Below are 21494 nucleotides of genomic sequence, written 5' to 3'. Positions count from 1 at the left end.
GAAAAGCAGTTTTTGTTGGGGGATAGGTGGAAAAATCAGCAGTGTAGTTTTTCACGTAATACATTTGAGATACTCATTTAGTTTATTAAAACTTTTTGTAACAGATCTATTAATAAGAATGAAGAAATTCTTCTTTTGTGGGAGAGGACATTTTACTTAACTGTGGTTAAGAGTCAGTGTTCTCTGTCAAAATAAAATGGAAACATTCATCTATCAGTGCTGATCTGTAATGATATTTTACTTACTTCATTTTTGAAAATGTCTTTCACTCAGGCACAGCAAATACTGACATAAATTCACAAACATTTTAATTGAACATATTTGTCACTAGGAAGGCATTTATAGAATTCTGTTAGATTCTCTTCTTGATATTTGCCTTTTAGCATGTTATTGTCAGTTAATCAATTCCAATTAAAGATTAGGTGGAAGTTCTCAGTTGCACAGTTAAATGGAATTTGCAGTATGGAAATTTACTTTGCATTTTCATGTGATCTGAAAAACCCTACTGGACCTGTAGTTTGAGCTCAGAAAAAAATATTCACTACACATTTGTATGGGAATGGAAATCTCCCTTCTTGTTTTAATATTTGATAATTTGGGATGCATGGACAGTAGCTTGTGATTACTTGTGATTCTCAGAATACTAGTTGTCATTAAGATGACTTTATCGTCAGTGTTTCTTATATATAAGCTATGTTTTCTCTTGTAATTGTACATTAAGTTCACCAAGAAATATCATCAAGTCTGCAGTAAAAACTGATTAGCAAAGTCATTTAGTGTTCCGTAATAAATGTCAAAAATATGTATATCTAAAGCCTTTTTGTATTCCACACATATTTTTACCAAAATTGGTTATAATGTATCTTAGTAGATTCCACTTCAGGTTTTACTGAATTAATGTTTGCTCAAGTTATGTGAGAATATTCTTGCCTGTAGTTGTCCCATGCTGACTGTTCATAGGAGCTAATTCTTCAGTCATTTCACACTCAACATTGACTCCTCAACAACAATAGCAATATTGGTTCCATTTTTTGACTTACCAAGAGTCAAGGAAAACCACTGAAATCATTTGCCTTGTTTTTTAAGTGACTATTGATTTGCTTCCAATGTCCTCAACATTTTAAAAATATTATTATGTGTAATTTATTTTAGATTTTTTTATTATTATACTTTTAAGTTCCGGAGTACATGTGCAGAACATGCAGGTTTATTACATAGGTATACATGTGCCATGGTGGTTTGCTGCACCCATCCACCTGTCACCTTCATTAGGTATTTCTCCTAATGCTATCCTTCCCCTAGCCCCCACCCCCTGACAGGCCCCGGTGTGTGATGTTCCACTCACTGTGTCCATGTGTTCTCATTGTTCAACTCACACTTGTGAGTGAGAACATGCAGTGTTTGGTTTTCTGTTCCTGTGTTAGTTTGCTGAGAATGATGGTTTCTAGCATCATCCATGTCCCTGCAAAGGACAAGAACTCATCTTTTTTTATGGCTGCATAGTATTCCATGGTGTATATGTGCCACATTTTCTTTATCCAGTCTATCATTGATGGGCATTTGGGTTGGTTCCAAGTCTTTGCTGTTGTGAACAGTGTTGAAGTAAGCATACGTGTGCATTTGTCTTTATAGTAGAATGATTTATAATACTTTGGGTATATACCTAGTAATGGGATTGCTGGGTCAAATGGTATTTCTGGTTCTAGATCCTTGAGGAATCGCCGCACTGTCTTCCACAATGGCTGAACTAATTTACACTCCCACCAACAGTGTAAAAGTGTTCCTGTTTCTCCACATCCTCTCCAGCATCTGTTGTTTCCTGACTTTAATGATCACCATTCTAACTAGTGTGAGGTGGTATCTCATTGTGGTTTTGATTTGCATGTCTCTGATGACTAGTATTGATGAGCTTTTTTCATGTTTGTTGGCCACATAAATGTCTTCTTTTGAGAAGTGTCTGTTCATATACTTTGCTAACTTTTTGATGGTTTTTTTTTTCTTGTAAATTTGTTTAAGTTCCTTGTAGATTCTGGATATTAGCCCTTTGTCAGATGGATAGATTGCAAAAATTTTCTCCCATTCTGTAGGTTGCCTGTTCACTCTGATGATAGTTTCTTTTGCTGTGGAGAAGGTCTTTAGTTTAATTAGATTCCATTTGTCAATTTTGGCTTTTTTTTTGCTATTGCTTTTGGTGTTTTAGTCATGAAGTCTTTGCCCATGCCTATGTCCTGAATGGTATTGCCTAGGTTTTCTTCTAGGGTTTTTATGGTTTTAGGTCTTATGTTTAAGTCTTTAATTCATTTTGAGTTAATATTTGTATAAGGTGTAAGAAGGGGTCCAGTTTCAATTTTCTGCATATGGGTATCCAGTTTTCGTAACACTATTTATTAAATAAGGAATCCTTTCCCCATAGCTTGTTTTTGTCAGGTTTGTCAAAGATCAGAGGGTCGTAGATGTGTGGCGTTATTTCTAAGGCTTCTGTTCTGTACCATTGGTCTATATATCTGTTTTGGCACCAGTACCATGCTGTTTTGGTTACTGTAGCCTTGTGTAGTTTGAAGTCAGGTAGCGTGATGCCTCCAGCTTTGTTCTTTTTGCTTAGGATTATCTTGGCTATGCAGGCTCTTTTTTGGTTCCATATGAAATTTAAAGTAGTTTTTTCTAATTCTGTGAAGAAAGTCAATGGTGGCTTGATGAGGATAGCATTGAATCTATAAATTACCTTGGGCAGTATGGCCATTTTCACAATATTGATTCTTCCTATCCATGAGCATGGAATATCTTTCTATTTGTTTGTGTCCTCTCTTATTTCATTGAGCAGTGGTTTGTAGTTCTCCTTGAAGAGGTCCTTCATATCCCTTGTAAGTATTTTATTCTCATTGTAGGTATTTTATTCTCATAGGTATCATCATCCTAGGTATTTTATCATCCTAGGTATTTTATTCTCTTTTAGCCATTGTGAGTGGGAGTTCACTCATGATTTGGCTCTCTGTTTGTCTATTATTGGTGTATAGGAATGCTTGTGATTTTTGCACATTAATTTTGTATCCTGAGACTTTGCTGAAGTTGCTGATCAGCTTAAGGAGATTTTGGGTTGAGACGATGGGGTTTTTTAAATATACAATCACGTCATCTGCAAACAGAGACAATTTGACTTCCTCTCTTCCTATTTGAATACCCTTTATTTCTTTCCCTTGCCTGATTTCCCTGGCCAGAACATCTAGTACTATGTTGAATAGGAGTGGTGAGAGAGGGCATCCTTGTCTTGTGCTGATTTTCAATGGGAATGCTTCCAGCTTTTGCCCTTTCAGTATGATATTGGCTGTGGGTTTGTCATAAATAGCTCTTATTATTTTGAGATACATTCCATGAATACCTAGTTTATTGAGAGTTTTTAGCATGAAGCAGTGTTGAATTTTATCAAAGGGATTTTCTGCATCTATTGAGATAATTGTGGTTTTTGTCATTAGTTCTGTTTATGTCATTGGTTCTGTTTTGTTATTGGTTCTGTTATGATGGATTATGCTTATTGATTTTCATATGTTGAACCAGCCTTGTATCCCAGGGTTGAAGCTGACTTGATTGTGGTGGATAAGCTTTTTAATGTGCTCCTGGATTTGGTGTGCCAGTATTTTATTGAGGATTTTCACATTGATGTTCATCAGGGATATTGGCCTGAAATTTAGTTTTTTTGTTGTGTCTCTGCCAGGTTTTGGTATCAGGATGATGTTGGCCTCATGAAATGAGTTAGGGACGAGTCCCTCTTTTTCAGGTGTTTGGAGTAGTTTCAGAAGGAATGGTACCAGCTTCTCTTTGTACCTCTAGTAGAATTTGGCTGTGAATCCGTCTGATCCTGGGCTTTTTTTTTTGGTAGGTAGGCTATTAATTACTGCCTCAATTTCAGAACTTGTTATTGGTCTGTTCAGGGATTCGACTTCTTCCTAGTTTAGGAAGGTGTCTTCCTAGTTTGGGAAGGTGTATGTGTCCAGGAATTTATCCATTTCTTCTAGATTTTCTAGTTTATTTGTGTAGAGGTGTTTACAGTATTCTCTGATTGTAGTTTGTATTTCTGTGGGATCAGTGCTAATATCCCCTTCATCATTTTTTATTGTGTCTATTTTATTCTTCTCTCTTTTCTTCTTCATTAATCTGGCTAGCAGTCTATCCATTTTGCTAATCTTTTCAAGAAACTAGCTCCTGGATTCACTGATTTTTTTTAAGGGTTTTTCATGTCTCTGTCTCCTTCAGTTCTGCTCCTTAGTTATTTCTTGTCTTCTGTTAGCTCTTGAATTTGTTTGCTCTTGCTTCTCTAGTTCTTTTAACTGTGATGATAGGGTACCAATTTTAGATCTTTCCCACTTTCTCCTGTGGTCATTAATGCAATAAATTTCCCTCTAAACACTGCTTTCACTTGTCCCAGAAATTCTGGTATGTTGTGTCTTTGTTCTCATTGATTTCAAAGAACTTATTTATTTCTGCCTTAATTGCATTATTTACCCAGTAGTCATTCAGGTGCAGATTGTTCAGTTTCCATGTAGTTGTGCGGTTTTGAGTGAGTTTCTTAATCCTGAATTTTATTTTGATTGCCTATTGTTTGGGAGACTGTTATGATTTCCATTCTTTTGCATTTGCTGAGGAGTGTTTTACTTCCAATTATGTGGTCAGTTTTAGAATACATGCGATATGGTGCTGAGAAGAATGTATAGTCTGTTGATTTGGGAGTGGAGAGTTCTGTAAATGTCTATTAGGTCTGTTTCATCCAGAGCTGGGTTCAAGTCCTGAATATCCTTGTTAATTTTCTGTCTTGTTGATCTGTCTAATATTGACAGTGGAGTGTTAAAGTCTCCCACTGTTATTGTGTGGGAGTCTAAGTCTCTTTGTAGGTCTCTAAAAACTTGCTCTATGCATCTGAGTGCTCCTGTATTGGGTGCATGTATATTTAGGATAGTTAGCTTCTTCTTGTTACATTGATCCCTTTAGCTCTTGTCTTTTTTGATCTCTGTGGTTTACAGTCTGTTTTATCAGAGACTAGGATTGCATTCTCTGCTTTTTTTTTTTTTTTGCCTTCCATTTGCTTGGTAAATCTTCCTCCTTCCCTTTATTTTGAGCCTATGTGCGCATGTGAGATGAATCTCCTGAATTCAGCACCCCGATGAGTCTTGACTCTTTATCCAGTTTGCCAGTCTGTGTCTTTTAATTGGGGCATTTAGCCCATTTACATTTAAGGTTAATATTGTTATGTGCGAAATTGATCCTGTCATTATGATGCTAGCTGGTTATTTTGCCCGTTAGTTGATGCAGTTTATTCATAGTGTTGATGGTCTTTACAATTTGGTATGTTTTTGTAGTGGCTGCTACCGGTTTTTCCTTTCCATATGTAGTGCTTCCTTAAGGAGTTCTTGTAAGACAGGCCTGGTGGTGACAAAATTTCTCAGCATTTGCTTGTCTGTAAAGGATTTTATTTCTCCTTTGCTTATGAAGCTTAGTTTGGCTGGATATGAAATTCTGGGTTGAAAATTCTTTTTAGAATGTTGAATATTGGCCCCCTACTCTCTTCTGGCTTGTACGGTTTCTGCAGAGCTCTGCTGTCAGTCTGATGGGCTTCCCTTTGTGGGTAACCTGATCTTTCTCTCTGGCTGCCCTTAACATTTTTTCCTTTATTTCAACCTTGGTGTATCTGACAATTATGTGTCTTGGGGTTGTTTTTCTCGAGGAGTATCTTTGTGGTGTTCTCTGTATTTCCTGAATCTGAATGTTGGCCTGTTTTGCTAGGTTGGGGAAGTTCTCCTGGATAATATCTTGAAGAGTGTTTTTCAGCTTGATTCCATTCTCCTCGTCACTTTCAGGTACACCAGCCAAAGATAGATTTGGTCTTTTCACATAGTCCCATATTTCTTGGAGGCTTTGTTTGTTCCTTTTCATTCTTTTTTCTCTAATCTTGTCTTCACGCTTTATTTCATTATGTTGATCTTCAATCTCTGGTATCTTTTCTTCTGCTTGATCAATTTGGCTATTGATACTTGAGTAAGCTTCACGATGTTCTTGTGCTGTGTTTCTCGGCTCCATCAAGTAATTTATGTTATCCTCTAAACTGGTTATTCTAGTTAGCAATTCCTTTAAGCTTTTTTCAAAGTTCTTAGCTTCCTTGCATTGGGTTACAACATGCTCCTTTAGCCTGGAGGAGTTTGTTATTACCCACCTTCTGAAGCCTGCTTCTGTCAATTCGTCAGACTCATTCTCTGTCTGGTTTTCTTCCCTTGCTGGCAAGGAGTTGTGATCCCTTGGAGGAGAAGAGGTGTTCTGGTTTTGGAATTTTCAGCCTTTTTGCTCTGGTTTTTCCTCATCTTCATGGATTTATCTACCTTTGGTGTTTGATGTTGGTAACTTTGGATGGGGTTTATGTGTGTACGTCCTTTTTGTTAATGTTGATGCTATTCCTTTCTGTTTGTTAGTTTTCCTTCTAATAGTGAGGCCCCTCTGCTGCAGGTTTGCTGGAGTTTTCTGTATGTCCACTCCAGACCCTGTTTGCCTGGGTATCACCAGCAGAGACTGCAGAACAGCAAAGTTTGCTGTGTGTTCCTTTCTCTGGAAGCTTCGTCCCAGAGGGGCACCCGCCAGATGCCAGCTGGAGCTCTCTTGCATGAGGTGTCTGTTGACTACTGCTGGGAGATGTTTCCCAGTCAGGAGGCATGGGGTTCAGGGACCCACTTGAGGGGGCAGTCTGTCCCTTAGCAGAGCTCCAGCGCTGTGCTGGGAGATCCATTGCTCTCTTCAGAGTTGGCAGGCAGGAACGTTTAGGTCTGATGAAGCTGCACCCACAGCCCCACCTTCTCACAGGTACTCTGTCCCAGGGAGATGGGAGTTTCATCTACAAGCCCCTGACTGGGGCTGCTGCCTTTCTTACAGACATGTCCTGCCTAGAGAGGCAGTCTGGCTACAGTGGCTTTGTGGCTCTGTGGTTGGCTCTGCACTGTCCCAACTTCCCAGGGGCTTTGTTTACATTGTGAGGGGAAAATTGCCTGTTCAAGCCTCGGTAATGGTGGACGACTCTCCCCCTACCAAGCTCGAGCATCCCAGGTCGACTTCAGACTGCTGTGCTGGCAGCAAGAATTTCAAGGCAGTGGATCTTAGCTTGCTGGGCTCCTTGGGGGTGGGATTGGCTGAGCTAGACCACTTGGCTGCCTGGCTTTAGCCCCCTTTCCAGGGGAGTAAATGGTTCTGTCTTGTTGGCATTCCAGGCGCCACTGGGGTATGAAAAAAATACTCCTGCAGCTAGCTCGGTGTCTGCCCAAATGGCTGCCCAATTTTGTGCTTGAAACCAGGGTCCTGGTGGTGTAATCACCTGAGGGAATCTCCTGGTCTGCAGGTTGTGAAGACCATGTGAAAAGCGTAGTATTTGGATCAGAATGCACCGTTTCTCACGGCACAGTCTTCTCACGGCACAGTCCCTCACATCTTCCCTTGGCTAGGAGAGGGAGTTCCCTGACCCCTTGCCCTTCCCAGGTGAGGCAACGCCCCACTCTGCTTTGGCTCGCCTTCCATGGGCTGCACTCACTGTCTAATCAGTCCCAATGAGATGGGTCGAGTCCTGCAGTTGTAAATGCAGAGATCACCCGCCTTCTGCATTGATCTCGCTGGGAGCTGCAAACTGGAGCTGTTCCTATTTGGCCATCTTGCCAGCCACCTCCCAGTGTCCTCAATCAACTCTTTAAGCAACTATTCTCACCAGTAGATTTAAACCAATTTGTTTTTTTTTTTGACACATTTCTTTTACTGCTGCAATCAAATGTGATTTGATAAACTCACCATTGGTAAATGACTTTCCTTGCTTGCTGATAAATGAACTACTAGGAAATGTACTTAGGTTGCAATCTTGTTATTTTTTATGAAGAAATTCTGTGTGGTGATGTACTCAGTTTTAGAATTTTCTAATTTTTCAGAGTGTTACTTTCCTGTGAGTTGAGAATATTGTAATGAGTGCATAGTTTGGTAGTGTCAATGTATATTCCATTATTTTAGCACAGCTGTGGTGTCATTGTATGATAAACACAATGTTTTGTGATCTAATTTGATAACAAAATAATAGATATTCACCTGTGCCTTAAAAGTATGACACTCAAAGTCCACCTCTTTCTTCTTTTCTTATTTTTATTCCTATGTATATGTATTGGTAATTTTAAAAAATGTGGTATGATAATACACGTGGAAATTGAAATGCTGTTCAGTTGTAATTTGATACTGTATAGTGTGCCACGTAGCAGTGGGGATTGATGGGAGAGCCACATGTGGTCTTTTTGCAGCTATTCACCTCTGCCATTCTATTGTGAAAACAGCTGGAAATAATACATAACAAATGAGTGTGACAGTGTTCCAATAAAACTTTATTTATGTATACCAATGTTTGAATTCCATTTAGTTTTCAAATGTCAGTAGTCATTGTTTTTTGACTTTTCTCCCCAAACATTTATAAATGTAAAAACTACTTTTAGCTCAAGGGCTATACAAAATAGGTGATGGACTGGATTGACTCTTGATTTTCAACTCCTTCTTTATCATACAATTTTTTTTTAAATGTTATTTCAGTAGTTTTTGGGGAACAGGTGGCTTTTAATTACATGGGTAAGTTCTTTAGTGGTTGTTTTCTGAGATTTTGGTGCACCTGTCACCCTAGCAGTGTACATTGTACCCGATGTATAGTCTTTTGTTCCTCACTCACCTCCCACCCTTCCCCTCGAGTGCCAAAGTCCATTATATCAGTCTTATGCCTTTGTGTCCTCATAGCTTAGCTCCCACTTATAAGTAAGAACATAACGGTATTTGGTTTTCCATTCCTGAGTTACTTCACTTAAAATAATGGTCTCCAAACCCATCCAGGTTGCTACGGATGCCATTATTTCATTCCTTTTTGTGGCTGAGTAGTATTCTGTAGTGTATATATACCACATTTTCTTTATCCACTTGTTGGTCAAGGGCCAGTTAGGCTGTTTCCATATTTTTGCTGTTGCAAATTGTGCTGCAATAAACATGTGCATGCAAGTGTCTTTTTCATATAATGACTTCTTTTCTTCTGGGTAGAGATCCAGAGGTGGAATTGCTGGATCATATGGTAGTTCTGCCTTCAGTTCTTTAGGGAATCTCCATACCATTTTCCATAGCGGTTGTACTAGTTTACATTCCCATCAGCAATGTAAACGTGTTCCCTTTTCACCACATCCATGCCAACATCTATTATTTTTTGATTTTTAAATTATGGCTATTGCTGCAGAAGTAAGAAGTTATCTCATTGTAATTTTAATTTGTATTTCCCTGATAATTAGTAATGTGGAGCATTTTTTCATGTGTTTGTTGGCCATTTGTCTATCTTCTTTTGAGAACTGCCTATTTATGTTCTTTGCCTACTTTGTGATGGGATTTTTTTTTTCTTGCTGATTTGTTGGAGTTCTTTGTGAATTCTGGGTATTAGCTCTTTGTCAGATGCATAATTTGTGAATATTTTCACCCATTCTGTTAGTTGTCTATTTTCTCTGGTGATTATTTCTCTTGCTGTAGGGAAGCTTTTTAGTTTAATTAGGTCCTGCCTATTAATTTTTGTTTTTGTTGCATTTGCTTTTGGGTTCTTGGTCTTGAACTCTTTGCCTAAGCCAATGTCTAGAAGAGTTTTTCTGATATTATCTTCTAAATTTTTATGGTTTTAGGTCTTAGATTTAAGTCTGATCCATCTTGACTTGATGTTTGTATATGGTGAGAGATGAGGATCCAGTTTCATTCTTCTACATTTGGCTTGCCAATTATCCCAGCACCATTTGTTGAATAGGTATCCCTTACCCAATTTATGTTTTTGTTTGCTTTATCCAAGATCAGTTGGCCATAAGTATTTGGCTTTATTTCTGGGTTCTTTATTCTGTTCCATTGGTCTACATGCCTTTTTTTAAATACCAGTACCATACTGTTTCTGTAACTATAACCTTGTAGTATAGTTTGAAGTTGAGTAATGTGATGCCTCCATGTTTGTTCTTTTTGCTTAGTCTTTCTTTGTCTATGTGGGCTCTTTTTTGGTTCCATATAAATTTTAGAATTGTTTTTTGTAGTTTTGTGAAGAATGATGCTGGTATTTTGATGGGAATTGCATTGAATCTGTAGACTGCTTTTGGCCGTATGGTCATTTTCACAATATTGATTCTACCCATCCACGAACATGGGATGTGTTTCCATTTGTTTGTGTCATCAGTGATTTTTTTCAGCAGTGTTTTGCAGTTTTCCTTGTAGAGATAGTTCATCTCCTTGGTTAGGTATATTCCTAATTTTTTTTTTTTGGCAGCTGTTGTAAAAGGGATTGAGTTCTTGATTTGATTCTCAGCTTCGTTGCTGTTGTTGTACAGCAGTGCTACAGATTTATGTATATTAATTTTGTTTTCTGAAACTTTACTGAATCTATTTATCAGATCTGGGAGCTTTTTTAGATGAGTCATTAGGGTTTTCTAGGTATATGATCATATCATCAGCAAACAGCGACAGTTTGACTTCCTCTTTACTGATTTGGACACCTTTATTTCATTATCTTGTCTGATTGTTCCGGCCAGGACTTGTAGCACTATGTTAAATAGAAGTGGTGAAAGTGGGCATCCTTGTCTTGTGCCAGTTCTCAGGGGCAATGCTTTCAGCTTGTCCCTATTCAGTATAATGTTGGTTGTGGATTTATCATAGTTGGCTTTTATTACCTTGAGGTATGCCCCTTTTATTCCAGTTTTGCTGAGGGTTTTAATCATAAAGGGATACTGGATTTTGTCAAATGCTAGTTCTGTGTCTGTTGAGATGATCATATGATTTTTTCTTATAAATTTTGTGTATGTGGTGTATCACATTTATTGATTTAGATGTGTTCAACCATCTGTGCATTCCTGCTGTGAAACCCACTTGGTCATGCTGTATCATATTTTTGATATTCTTTTGGATTTGGTTAGCTAGTATTTTGTTGAGGATTTTTGTATCTGTGTTCCTCAGGGATACTGGTCTGTAGTTTTCTTTTTTTGTTATGTCCTTTCCTGGTTTTGGTATTTGGGTGATGTTGGCTTCATAGAATGACTTAGGAAGGATTTCCTCTTTCTCTGTCTTTTGGAATAGTTTCACTAAGATTGGTACCAATTCTTCTTTCAGTGTCTTATAGAATTCAGCTGTGAAAACATCTGGTCCTGTACTTCTTTTGTTGGCATTTTAAAAATTACTGTTTGAATCTCACTACTTGTTGAACTCTGAACAGACTACTTGGTGTGTACAGAGTTTCTGATTCTTCCTGGTTTAATCTAGGAGGGTTGTATATTTCCAGGAAGTTATCCATCTCCTCTAGGTTTTCTAGTTTGTGCACATAAAGGTGTTAATAGTAGCCTTGGATAATCTTTAGTATTTCTGTGTTATCAGTTGTATTATCTCCTGTTTCTAATAGACCTTATTTGGATCTTGCCTCCTCTTTTCTCGGTTAATCTTGCTAATGGTCTATCAATTTTGTTTGTTCTTTCAAAGAACCAGCTTTTGGCTTCATTTATCTTTTGTGTGGTTTTGTTGTTGTTGTTTCCACTTCATTTAGTTCAGCTCTGATATGGGTTATTTCTTTTCTTCTGCTGAGTTTGGGTTTGGTTTGTTCGTGTTTCTCTGTTTCCTTGAGGTGTGACCTTAGATAGTCTGTTTTCACTCTTAGCCTTTTTGATATGGGCATTTAATGCTATGAACTTTTCTCTTTGCACCGTTTTTGCTGTATACCAGAGTCTTTGACAAGTTATGTCAGTATTATCATTCAGCTCAAAGAATTTTTAAATTTCCATGTTGATTTCATTGTTGTCTCAAAGATCATTGAAGAGCAGATTATTTAATTTTCGTGTGTTTTTACAGTTTTGGGTGTTCCTTTTCGAGTTAATTTCCAGCTTTGTTTTACTGTGGTCTGAGAGGATACTTGATATAATTTAGATTTTTCTTAAATTTATAGAGACATGTGACCTATCATTGGTCTATCTTGGAGAATGTTCCATGTACTGATGAAAAGAATATATATTCTGCAGTTGTTGGGTAGACTGTCCAGTAAATATCTGTTAAATCCATTTGTTCTAGGGTTTAGTTTTAAGTCTATTGTTTCTTTGTTGACTTTCTGTACTTTGTAGTACTGTCAGTGGAATATTGAATTTCCCCACTATTATTGTGTTGCCATCTATCTCATTTCTTAGGTCTAGTAGTAATTGTTTTATAAATTTGGGAGACCTCGTGTTAAGTGCGTATATATTTAGGATTGTGATATTTTCTTGTTAGATTGATCCTTTTATCATTATATAATGTCCCTCTTTGTCTTTTTTCTACTGTTTTTGCTTTAAAGTCTGTTTTTTTCTGGTATAAAAATTGCTACTCCTCCTTGCATTTGGTTTCCATCTGTGTGGAATATCTTTTCCCACCCCTTTACCTTAAGTTTTGTTGAGTTGTCACCTTAGGGGAGTCTCTTGAAGACAGCAAATAATCGGTTGGTGGAATTTTTTTTTTTTTTTTAATTCATTCTGCCATTCTCTGTCTTTTAAGTGAGCATTTAGGCCATTTACATTCACTGTTAGTATTGAGATGTGAGGTATTGTTCTATTCATCATGCTAATTGTTGCCTTAATATGTTGTTTTTCATTATGTTATTGTCTTATGGGCCCTGTGAAATTTATGCTTTAAGGAGGTTCTATTTTGGTGTCTTTCAGTGTTTTGTTTCAAGATCTAGAACTCTGTTTAGCATTTCTTGTAGTGCTGGCTTAGTAGTGGCAAATTGCTTCAGGATTTTTTTGTCTGAAAAAGACTTTATCTCTCCTTCTTTTATGAGGCTTAGTTTTGCTGGAGATAAAATTCATGGCTGACAAATATTTTGTTTAAGGGGGCTAAAGATGGGAACCCAGTCTCTTCTGATTTACAGGGTTTCTTCTGACAAATCTGCTGGTAATCTGATAGGTTTTCTTTTGTAGCTTATTTGATGCTTTTATCTCACAGCTCTTAAGATTCTTTCTTTCGTCTTAAGTTCTGAGTGGGGCACTGCAGGAGCCAGGCCAGCCTCACCAACTATGAGGGATTTAGATAACCTGATGACTGTGTGTGCAGGTGATTTTTTTGCGGTGAATATTTCAGGTGTTCTTTGAGCTTTTTGTATTTAGATGTCTAGATCTCTAGGAAGGCCAAGGAAGTTTTCCTCAATTAACCCTACAAATAAGTTTTCTAAACTTTAGATTTCTTTTCTTCCTCAGGAACACCTATTTTTCTTAGGTTTGGCCATTTAACATAATCCCTAATTTCTTGGAGGCTCTGTTCATTTTTTTATTCTTTTTTTTTTTTTTTGTCTTTGTCAGATTGGGTTAATTTGAAAGCCAAAAGTTAATTTGGGTTAATTTTCTTCAAGCTCTGAACTTCTTTCTTCTCCTTGTTCTCATATATTGTTGAAACTTCTCAGGGTGTTTTGTATTTCTGTAAGTGTGTCTTTCATTTCCAGAATTTGTGATTGTTTTTTCTTTATGATACCTATTTCTCTGGAGAATTTCCTATCTATATCCTGTATTTTCTAAAAAAATTTCTTTACATTGGTTTTCACATTTTTCTGGTGTCTTCTTGATTAGCTTTACAATCAACCTTCTGATATTTTTTTTTTCTTCTGGCAAATCAGAGAGTTCTTCTAGGTACAGATCCATTGTTAGGGAGCTGGTGTGATCTTTTGGTGGTAGTGTAGAATCCTGTTGTGTCATATTCCCAGAATTACTTTTCTGGTTCCTTCTCATTTTGGTAGTCTGTTTAAGTGGAAAGGTGTGGAACTCAAGTCTTAATGTTCAGATTTCCTTGTCCCATGGGGTGATCCCTTGATGTGGTGCTCTCCCCCTTTTCTTGAGGATGGGGCTTCCTAAGAGCTGGACTGCAGTGAATCTTATTTCTCTTCTGGGTCTAGCCACCCAGCAGGACTACCAGGCTCTGCGCTGGTGCTAGGGAATGTCTGCAAAGAGTCCTGTGATGTGATCTGTCTTCAGGTCTCCCAGGCATGGATGCCAGCACTTGCTTGGATGGAGGTGGCAGGGGAGTGAGGTAGACCCAGTCCTTGGTTGTAGATACGTTTAGTGTGCTGGCTTTCTCGAATGCTGGTTATGCTAGCAGTAAAGTTGTCAAATGGAGAGACTAAGGACCATTGGTTAGCCAGGATGTTGTGGGCAGTGGAATTAGCTATTGTCTTCTTCTTCCTGGCAGCAAGATTATTCTGTCATAAGTTGCTGTTATGGCCCAAGTAGATTGGCCTCCAGCCTGTGGGTGGCATTTTCAAAAGAGCATCAGCTATAGTAGTAGTAGGGGGATCTGTGCTTGCCCTGCATTGGCCAGGATAAGGATTTTAGTTTGTCAGGTGATGGATGGGGCCATAAAGCCCCCAAGAGTTTCTATCTTTTGTGTTTGGCAACCATGGAAAATAGAGAAATACCATCAGGTTGGGGCTGGTTTAGGTGGGTCCAAGCTTAGACTTTCCTTGGGTGAGGCTTGCTGTGGCCACTGTAGGGGATTGAGGGGGTGGTTCTCAGGCCAATGGGGTTATGTTCCAGAGGGGCTTTTGGTTGCCTCTGTTGTTCTATATAGTTTCTCAGGGAAATGGGTGATAGCTGTAGCAAGAGGCCTTACCCAACTCCCTCATAGTTGGTGAGGCTGGCCTGGCTCCTGCAGTGCCCCACTCAGAACTTGCCCCAGGCTGTGAGCTTTCCTGCTGAGAAAGCAAGCATGGCTTTCCCACCTTGCCCCTCCCTGTCTGTCACCAGTGGCTCCTACGTTTGTATCTGAAGCAATTCCTGTTTGCCTCCCAGATTCTGCTCAAGGAAATTCACGCCCAGTCAGAATTACTACTTATTTCAGTAGGAAGCTTTCTCTGTCCTGTGATCCCTCCCTAATTCTGCTGCCTGCCTTCCCTGAAGGCCCCTGTGAGGTATAGTTGGGGATGGCTTCCCTGGGCTTGAGCTGGAGACTGGGAGTACATGCAAGTCACTTCCTCTCACTGCTGTTTCCACTTTTATGTTTTTCATGAGTCCTTAAATTTGTTTAAGCTCTAGGTAAGTTTAAATCATTTTCCTGTAATCTGGATTTATGGATTCTCCAGTGGGGTTGTGTGTTCAGAGGCAGGTTTTCTCCCTCTCATACTTTGGGAACTCAGTTTTTTGCCTGTCCTGTGCAATTTGCAGTGGCATGCTGCTTCATTCAAAGATCTTTGAATTCTTTTGATTTTCCTGATACATTTCTTTGGTGGTTCTTGGAGCAAAAGATCATGGTAAAGATCATGGTGTTCTCCACACACTGTTCTGTCTGTCCAAGTGGGAGCTACACGTTAGCATTGTCTGCTATCCACCATCTATCTTGTCCCTAAGTCTATTCATGTAAGTAACTTAAGATGTAAGGCTTTCCTAAAAGTTTCAGATGGGAAATAGTTTTATTTCACTTCTTATAGTATGCTGTTCCTATCTGTATCATGATGCTTTCCTTATTGTATTAATCTAGTTGAATAGTAATGTCTTTGTCTCCCTACTAGGTTGTGAGCTCTTTGAGGAAGGGTAGGGGTCATCTTGTTTTCATTTTATTGAAGGATAAAGTTTAAAAGAGGATATAATCATGACTCTCATAGAAATATAGAATGAGCACAAGCCAAAGATATTTAACTCATTATTAATGAAAGAACAAGTCAGTTGTTAAAAGTGGTTCAAAGGAGAATTCAAAAATTACCATACTCTTATAGAGCAACCATTCTAAAATGCATGCATATGGATGTAAATCTGGCAAAACTGTTCTGTTTCACTGGGTACAGTTTGCATTTCTGTGGATAGGAATGATCTGTATTACTCTCATTTTTCTATAAGGCAAGTTCCATCTCTGCAGAGTTGTAAAATAGCTGAATCAAAAGACAAACAAAATCCCATACGCCTATGGAATCAGGCAATCCTCAGAGGTGCCAGCATTCCAGGGAAAGAACATTCAGTAACTTTTTTTGCCTCTTTTTCAATCCCCTACTTTTCCTACAATTTTTAAATCTTCAGTAAATCTGTATTGAATTTACTGAATGGAACAAAGGTGACATTAGTATTTCATGTGATGGTCTGTTTACTCTGTATTAAAATGTCATATGCTGTATACATATGAAATTACTGATTTCACTTCTGGAATCCACAGTGAATTGTCTAAGCACTTATGGAAAATACTATTTATATAATACATTTTAACATCTCATTATATTCTTATTTTATACTCTTATTAATTTCTTTATGTGTAAGCTCCTTGAGGGCAGGTGCCATAATCTTTCTTCTATTTAAAAAAATAAAGCATCACTCTGAATAAATAAGTGCAATGCTAGGTTGCAAAAGTGTGTAGTGAATGATGAAAACAGTATAAATGAGATTAGAGCCACAATTTTACTACCATTTCTCTCAAAAATCATACTGATTTTAAGCAATAAGTAAGTTAGGGACCCTTTTTTCTCAATAATAATCTAAGTGAAATATAACTTTGAGAGTGAAATTTTTTATTTAGGGAGCCCTTTATGGAGTATTTACACTCAATTCCATTTGGTTAATTTTTTAAATTACTTCAGAGATAAAAGGGCTTAAGTATTACATTTTTATTGATTTGTGTTATGACATCAGAATATTAGTTTTTTAATAAACATATCTAAAAAGGAGCTGGAAATTTTGGAACTTAAAAATTTAAGGAGTTTTATATTTATTATAGTCATTTAAAAATCAAAACAATGGTAAAAACCTAAAATGGGGCTCTATCCTTTTGTAATTTATGGTTATGTACTCTTCATAAATCTGTAACTAGATTCAGTATTTCAAGAAATCTAATAAAATGCTATAGTTTTTCTGAATTACTAAAAGTAAAATATTTACAGTTTACAGTGAGATTGTTTATCAATTAAATATTAGGCTCTTTCAGAAAATAAGATATTAAAATTATGAAGAGAAAGAAACCACGGAGAGTACTGAACCCTGTATATACTAATGTATGTGTAGCATATACAATGTGGATATGCTGGTGATGATTCATGTCCTGGCCAAGACAGAGCATAATACTGCAAGATTTCATTGCACTATTCGAAATGGCACACAGTTTAAAGCTTATGAATTATTTCTGGAATTTTTCATTTTACATTTTTGGACTGCAGTTGACTGTGGATAACTGAAATCATAGATAAGGTGAAATTTAGACTGGTTCTTTTTAACCCATCAACTTGTAAAAACATTTTCAATTTGAATAAAAGAAAAAGTATTTGCAAATGTTTTTTAAATCAGTATCCTTAGCTCTTTTATTCCTGTGTGATGTTTAACTGTTTATTTTGATTTATGAGTGAATTTTAATTCAGAGGACCTAGTGATGTTTATCATCTCAGTCTTTAAAAGCGGAATGTTTTATGTTATGTTGCTTTGTGAACCATCACAAATGTAACCATTGATTAATATGCAAAGCCCAGGTTTTGAATTTTTGCCAGTTTGTTTGGAGCTCTTCAGTAAACAACTGTTAAGTCTGTCTCTATCCTATCCTCTCCCGTGGTACGTCTTCTCTGGCTAAAGATTCTATGACTTCTCTGGCTAAAGATTCTGTGACTTCTCTGGCATGAATCAAGTGGTATTAATTATTGAAGTTATTTAATACGTTACTGAGAACTCTGATAGTTGGAGTCTATGAAATTGATAATTTTATAGGTCAAAATTTTAACAATTGGCAGTTTCATAACGTAAGGCCTATAACCGTTTGAATTGTTGAACCAATGCTTAAGCATGTGACTATTGTTAATCATTAAACTGAAAACTATATTTCAAGCATGCTCTTTAAGTTGTTAGGTGATCTGGATGTTGCTTTTACTGATATGATTTGTTGTATAGCCTTTCAAAAAATTTTTAAAACTTACAAGATATTCAAGGAAAAAACTACATGAAACATGCAGGTGGAGGGACAATGGTTCTTCTAGGTCTTACTTGGAGTGTCATGGTGGTCTAGGATCTTGCTATTTCTTCCTTTATTAGAAATTTTTCAAAATAAACATCTAGTTTGTGGTCTTTCTTTTCTTCTACCCTTCTTCTATTCATACTCTTTTCCCAGAATTTATATCATTTATATTTATAATATATCTTTAAATATTGCATGCACATTTTTACTAGTAAATCTAATGTACACAGAATTCAAGTGTAGAAAGAGATCAGTATCATTTTCTAGCAGCGCTGAAGACTGACAATAACTTACCATAATAAAGTACCTGTAAAGGTAAAGTTCTTAGAGTTTCATAGGAACCTTTGTATAAAATGTCTGGTAAAATTATATACATTGTTGGAACCCTGTATTTTTAGCGAGCCTTCTGAATTTAGGAGTATCTTTAATGATAAGGGACTGAGATGAAGGAAAGGATGAATCTCAGTTATAGAAAAGTATAACATTTAAAAGCTTTGCTAATATGTAAATGTGTTAATTTTAGGTTGATTAACCAGCTGTTGCCTAGCAGAGGAGTTGTGATTATTATGCTAATGGTGCTTTCTAATAGTTTTTTCCAAATTATTTTAAATATCGCCTCCGAATAATTTTTCCCTGTGGTTAATTGGCTCTCTGAGGAGATATTTTCTAGAAGTGAAGTTTAAGGCAACACCCTTGCTGCAGAAGAGCTAGTTTTATAATCACTTTCAGAAATCATGTTTTTTCCTTCAGTCTTCTCATCCTGTTGTTCCCACTCAAAATAGAGAATTGAATAAGAATAGTGATACAATTTACCCTTGGGGCTTATTTGATGGCTATTTCTGTGTTTGTGAATTACCAGCTACTGAAATTTACCTGTCACCTTCTTTGATTCCTGTTTCTGGTTTTTGGCACTTCCACATTGGTGGTGCTAGATAACACATGGGAGGATGTGTTCCTGAGCCTGGTCTGTGGTGCCCAGATATTAAGACATTAGGAAATATTCCCCATTTAGCACTATTTTTAGTTCAGAGCTCTTGAGTTTTCTTATATGTGAAGTGTTTTTTTAGTAAAATTGCTAGGCTGTTATCAAGTCTGATGGAGGTGCATAACGCTGAAAAGAATTTTGAGAGAAACCACTAAACAGCATTCACAGATTCGATTTAGAAAGTGTCTGTGTATTTTAAATAATTATTGCCATATTCTGTGGAGACTCATACCTGAACTCACAATATATAAACATGTAAAAGCCTAATTATTTTTTTCCTTAGTACTGTACAGTGATGATTTTTCTAAGGACCTGCAACAATTTTGAATAAGTAAAGAAAATTGTAGTTTGTTTTTAGCATTAAGTCTATTTTGTTATATCAAAATTCTTTTGCGGATATTCACACATGTAACTCAGTTATTTGAATTCCTTGTGACATACTTATTTTTTAAGAATCACTTTAGTAACATTGTTGTTCAAAATAATATAACACAGTTTTAATAAATCTATCTTTCTGATGGTACAATAGTTTCCTTCCATCCAAGGGGAATATGTTCCAAGACCCCCAGTGGATGCCTGAAACTGCAGATAGTAATGAACACTATATATACTGTGGTTTTTCTAGTACATATGTACTTGATAAACTTTAATTTATAAATTAGGCACAGTAAGAGATTTACAATAACTAATATAAAACAGAACAGTTATAATGATATACTGTTCACAGTTTCATGGATAGAAGGTTCATTCTTCCTGTAGATCTCAGCAGCCTCAGTGTATGATTTCTTTTCTTTCCTTATTAAGTTGAGAACTTCACCTTTTCACTTACAGAAGCACTTTCCAGCTCCTCTTTGTCATATCCATGTTGGCAGCATCACTCCTCTTGTGCTTTGGGGCTATTATTAAGTCAAAGAAGCGTGAGTTGAATACAAGCACTGCAATACCATGAGAGTTGGTCTGGTCACTGAGATGACTCCCAAGTGAGTCACCGGCGGGTAGTCCACAGTGTAGATGCACTGGACAAAGGAATGATTCATGTTCCAGGCGGGACGGAGTGGGGCGGTGCGGGACTGTGTGAGATTTCATCACATTACTCAGAACTGCATGCAGTTTAAAACTTATACATTGTTTTTTTCAGGAATTTTCCATTTAGTATTTTTTGACCGAGGTTGACCATGGGTAACTGAAACTGTGAAAAGTGAAATAACAGATAAAGGAGGACTACTTATTGGATTTCCCCTACATTGTCTCTGTTCTTTTTAAGAAAGGGGACAATACTTAGACCAATGGTAAAATCTTCTAAAACATGTCATTTCAGAAATTCATTATGTGTGTTTCTTATGGTTAAACTGCAGGAAACTGGCAGTCCTGTTTGCCTTTCTTGACAGCACAAATTTTGTATCAAAATCTCGTTTATTCAGTTGATTATATATATATATATATGCAGTTTTACCAGCATATAGACAGCTGCTATTTTTTTTTCTATTTAAGAGGCCAAATTTTTTTCCCCTTCATCACTATATTTTAAGCAGAAATGATATTTTTGTCACCATTTCAAGAAATATTTATAACATTAATCTAAAGCTTCTGTGACCTCTGTCAAATTCTGACTACAAATGATAAAGATAATACAATAAATAAAATTTGAATCTGTTAAAAAAAGTGAAAAGTGGCAAAAAGTCACTTTTTCCTCAGAATTATTTTCAGATGCTTTTTGTTAGCCTTATACAGAAAGAACACTTTGATCAAGTCTTATTATACTTTCCCCATGCATATTTTAGTGGTTTTTTTTTTTCCTTTAAGAAAAAGAGCAATCCTGGTCCACTTTGATAGCAGCATATACTTAACACTGATTGCATTTTGATGTCCTTTATGAATGTGTATTGGGTGATATTATTTCTGATTTTCCATGGCAATTTCAGATGTTTTATTGTTCTTAATTATTAACTACTCATTTTGATTAGTAGTTTGCCTTTCATGACAGTACAAATTTAGTATTGAAACCTTGTTTATTCAGTTGATCTCATGTATATAAATATACATATGTATGTTATTTGACTACGGTGCCTTGTCAAAGTATGAGAGCGTTTTATGTAAATGAACCTGTACTGTATATGTAATTATGTCTGTACTGTTCAGTAATTAATGTCATAGATCTGGAGTTGGGACATCCTACCTTCTGTCTGCTCTGTTCTCTACTGTAGGAGGCCGATCCTGGCAAATAACATTTCTCAGGCTCCTTTGCCAGCAGGCTTTTGGCTCGGTTTGGCAAATGGGAAGCACACGTGGAAGACAGGAGGGCGGAAAGAGGGGAAGAGCCGGGGTATTTCTTCCTCTCTTTTTCTGCCTTGAGAGGGGTCTCCACTACTGTTCAGATAGCTTATATCAGATAACTCATAATTTGGTTCAGTGATTAACAAAAAAATCTTTTTTACTACTATAACATGGGCAAATTTCTTCATAGAAGCATTTTTATTCTTGTTCTTTCCTGACCATAAATATGAATGCCTAGCTTTGCACATTGTAGTTATATAGATTATCTAATCTCATT

General features: G+C 36.9%; 1 protein-coding gene across 12 annotated transcripts in view, besides 1 other annotated feature; it reads left to right on the top strand.

Moving 5' to 3' along the window:
* ARHGAP32 (Rho GTPase activating protein 32) overlaps positions 1-21494 on the top strand; it is a 314573-nt gene that overhangs the window by 116174 nt on the left and 176905 nt on the right. The gene's annotated exons all lie outside the window — the stretch shown is intronic.
* Positions 19518-20717: an enhancer, noted in NCBI's record as "CDK7 strongly-dependent group 2 enhancer chr11:129012637-129013836 (GRCh37/hg19 assembly coordinates)". NCBI's record gives its function as "activates an origin of replication core promoter dependent on BRD2, BRD4, P300/CBP, MED14 and CDK7 cofactors, with strong dependence on CDK7, by STARR-seq in HCT116 cells {active_cell/tissue: HCT116}" and the evidence as "EXISTENCE:reporter gene assay evidence [ECO:0000049][PMID:35650434]".

Source organism: Homo sapiens, chromosome 11, assembly GCF_000001405.40.
Source record: "Homo sapiens chromosome 11, GRCh38.p14 Primary Assembly".
Classification (NCBI taxonomy): Eukaryota; Metazoa; Chordata; class Mammalia; order Primates; family Hominidae; genus Homo; species Homo sapiens.
This window is presented reverse-complemented; position numbering and strand designations above follow the sequence as displayed.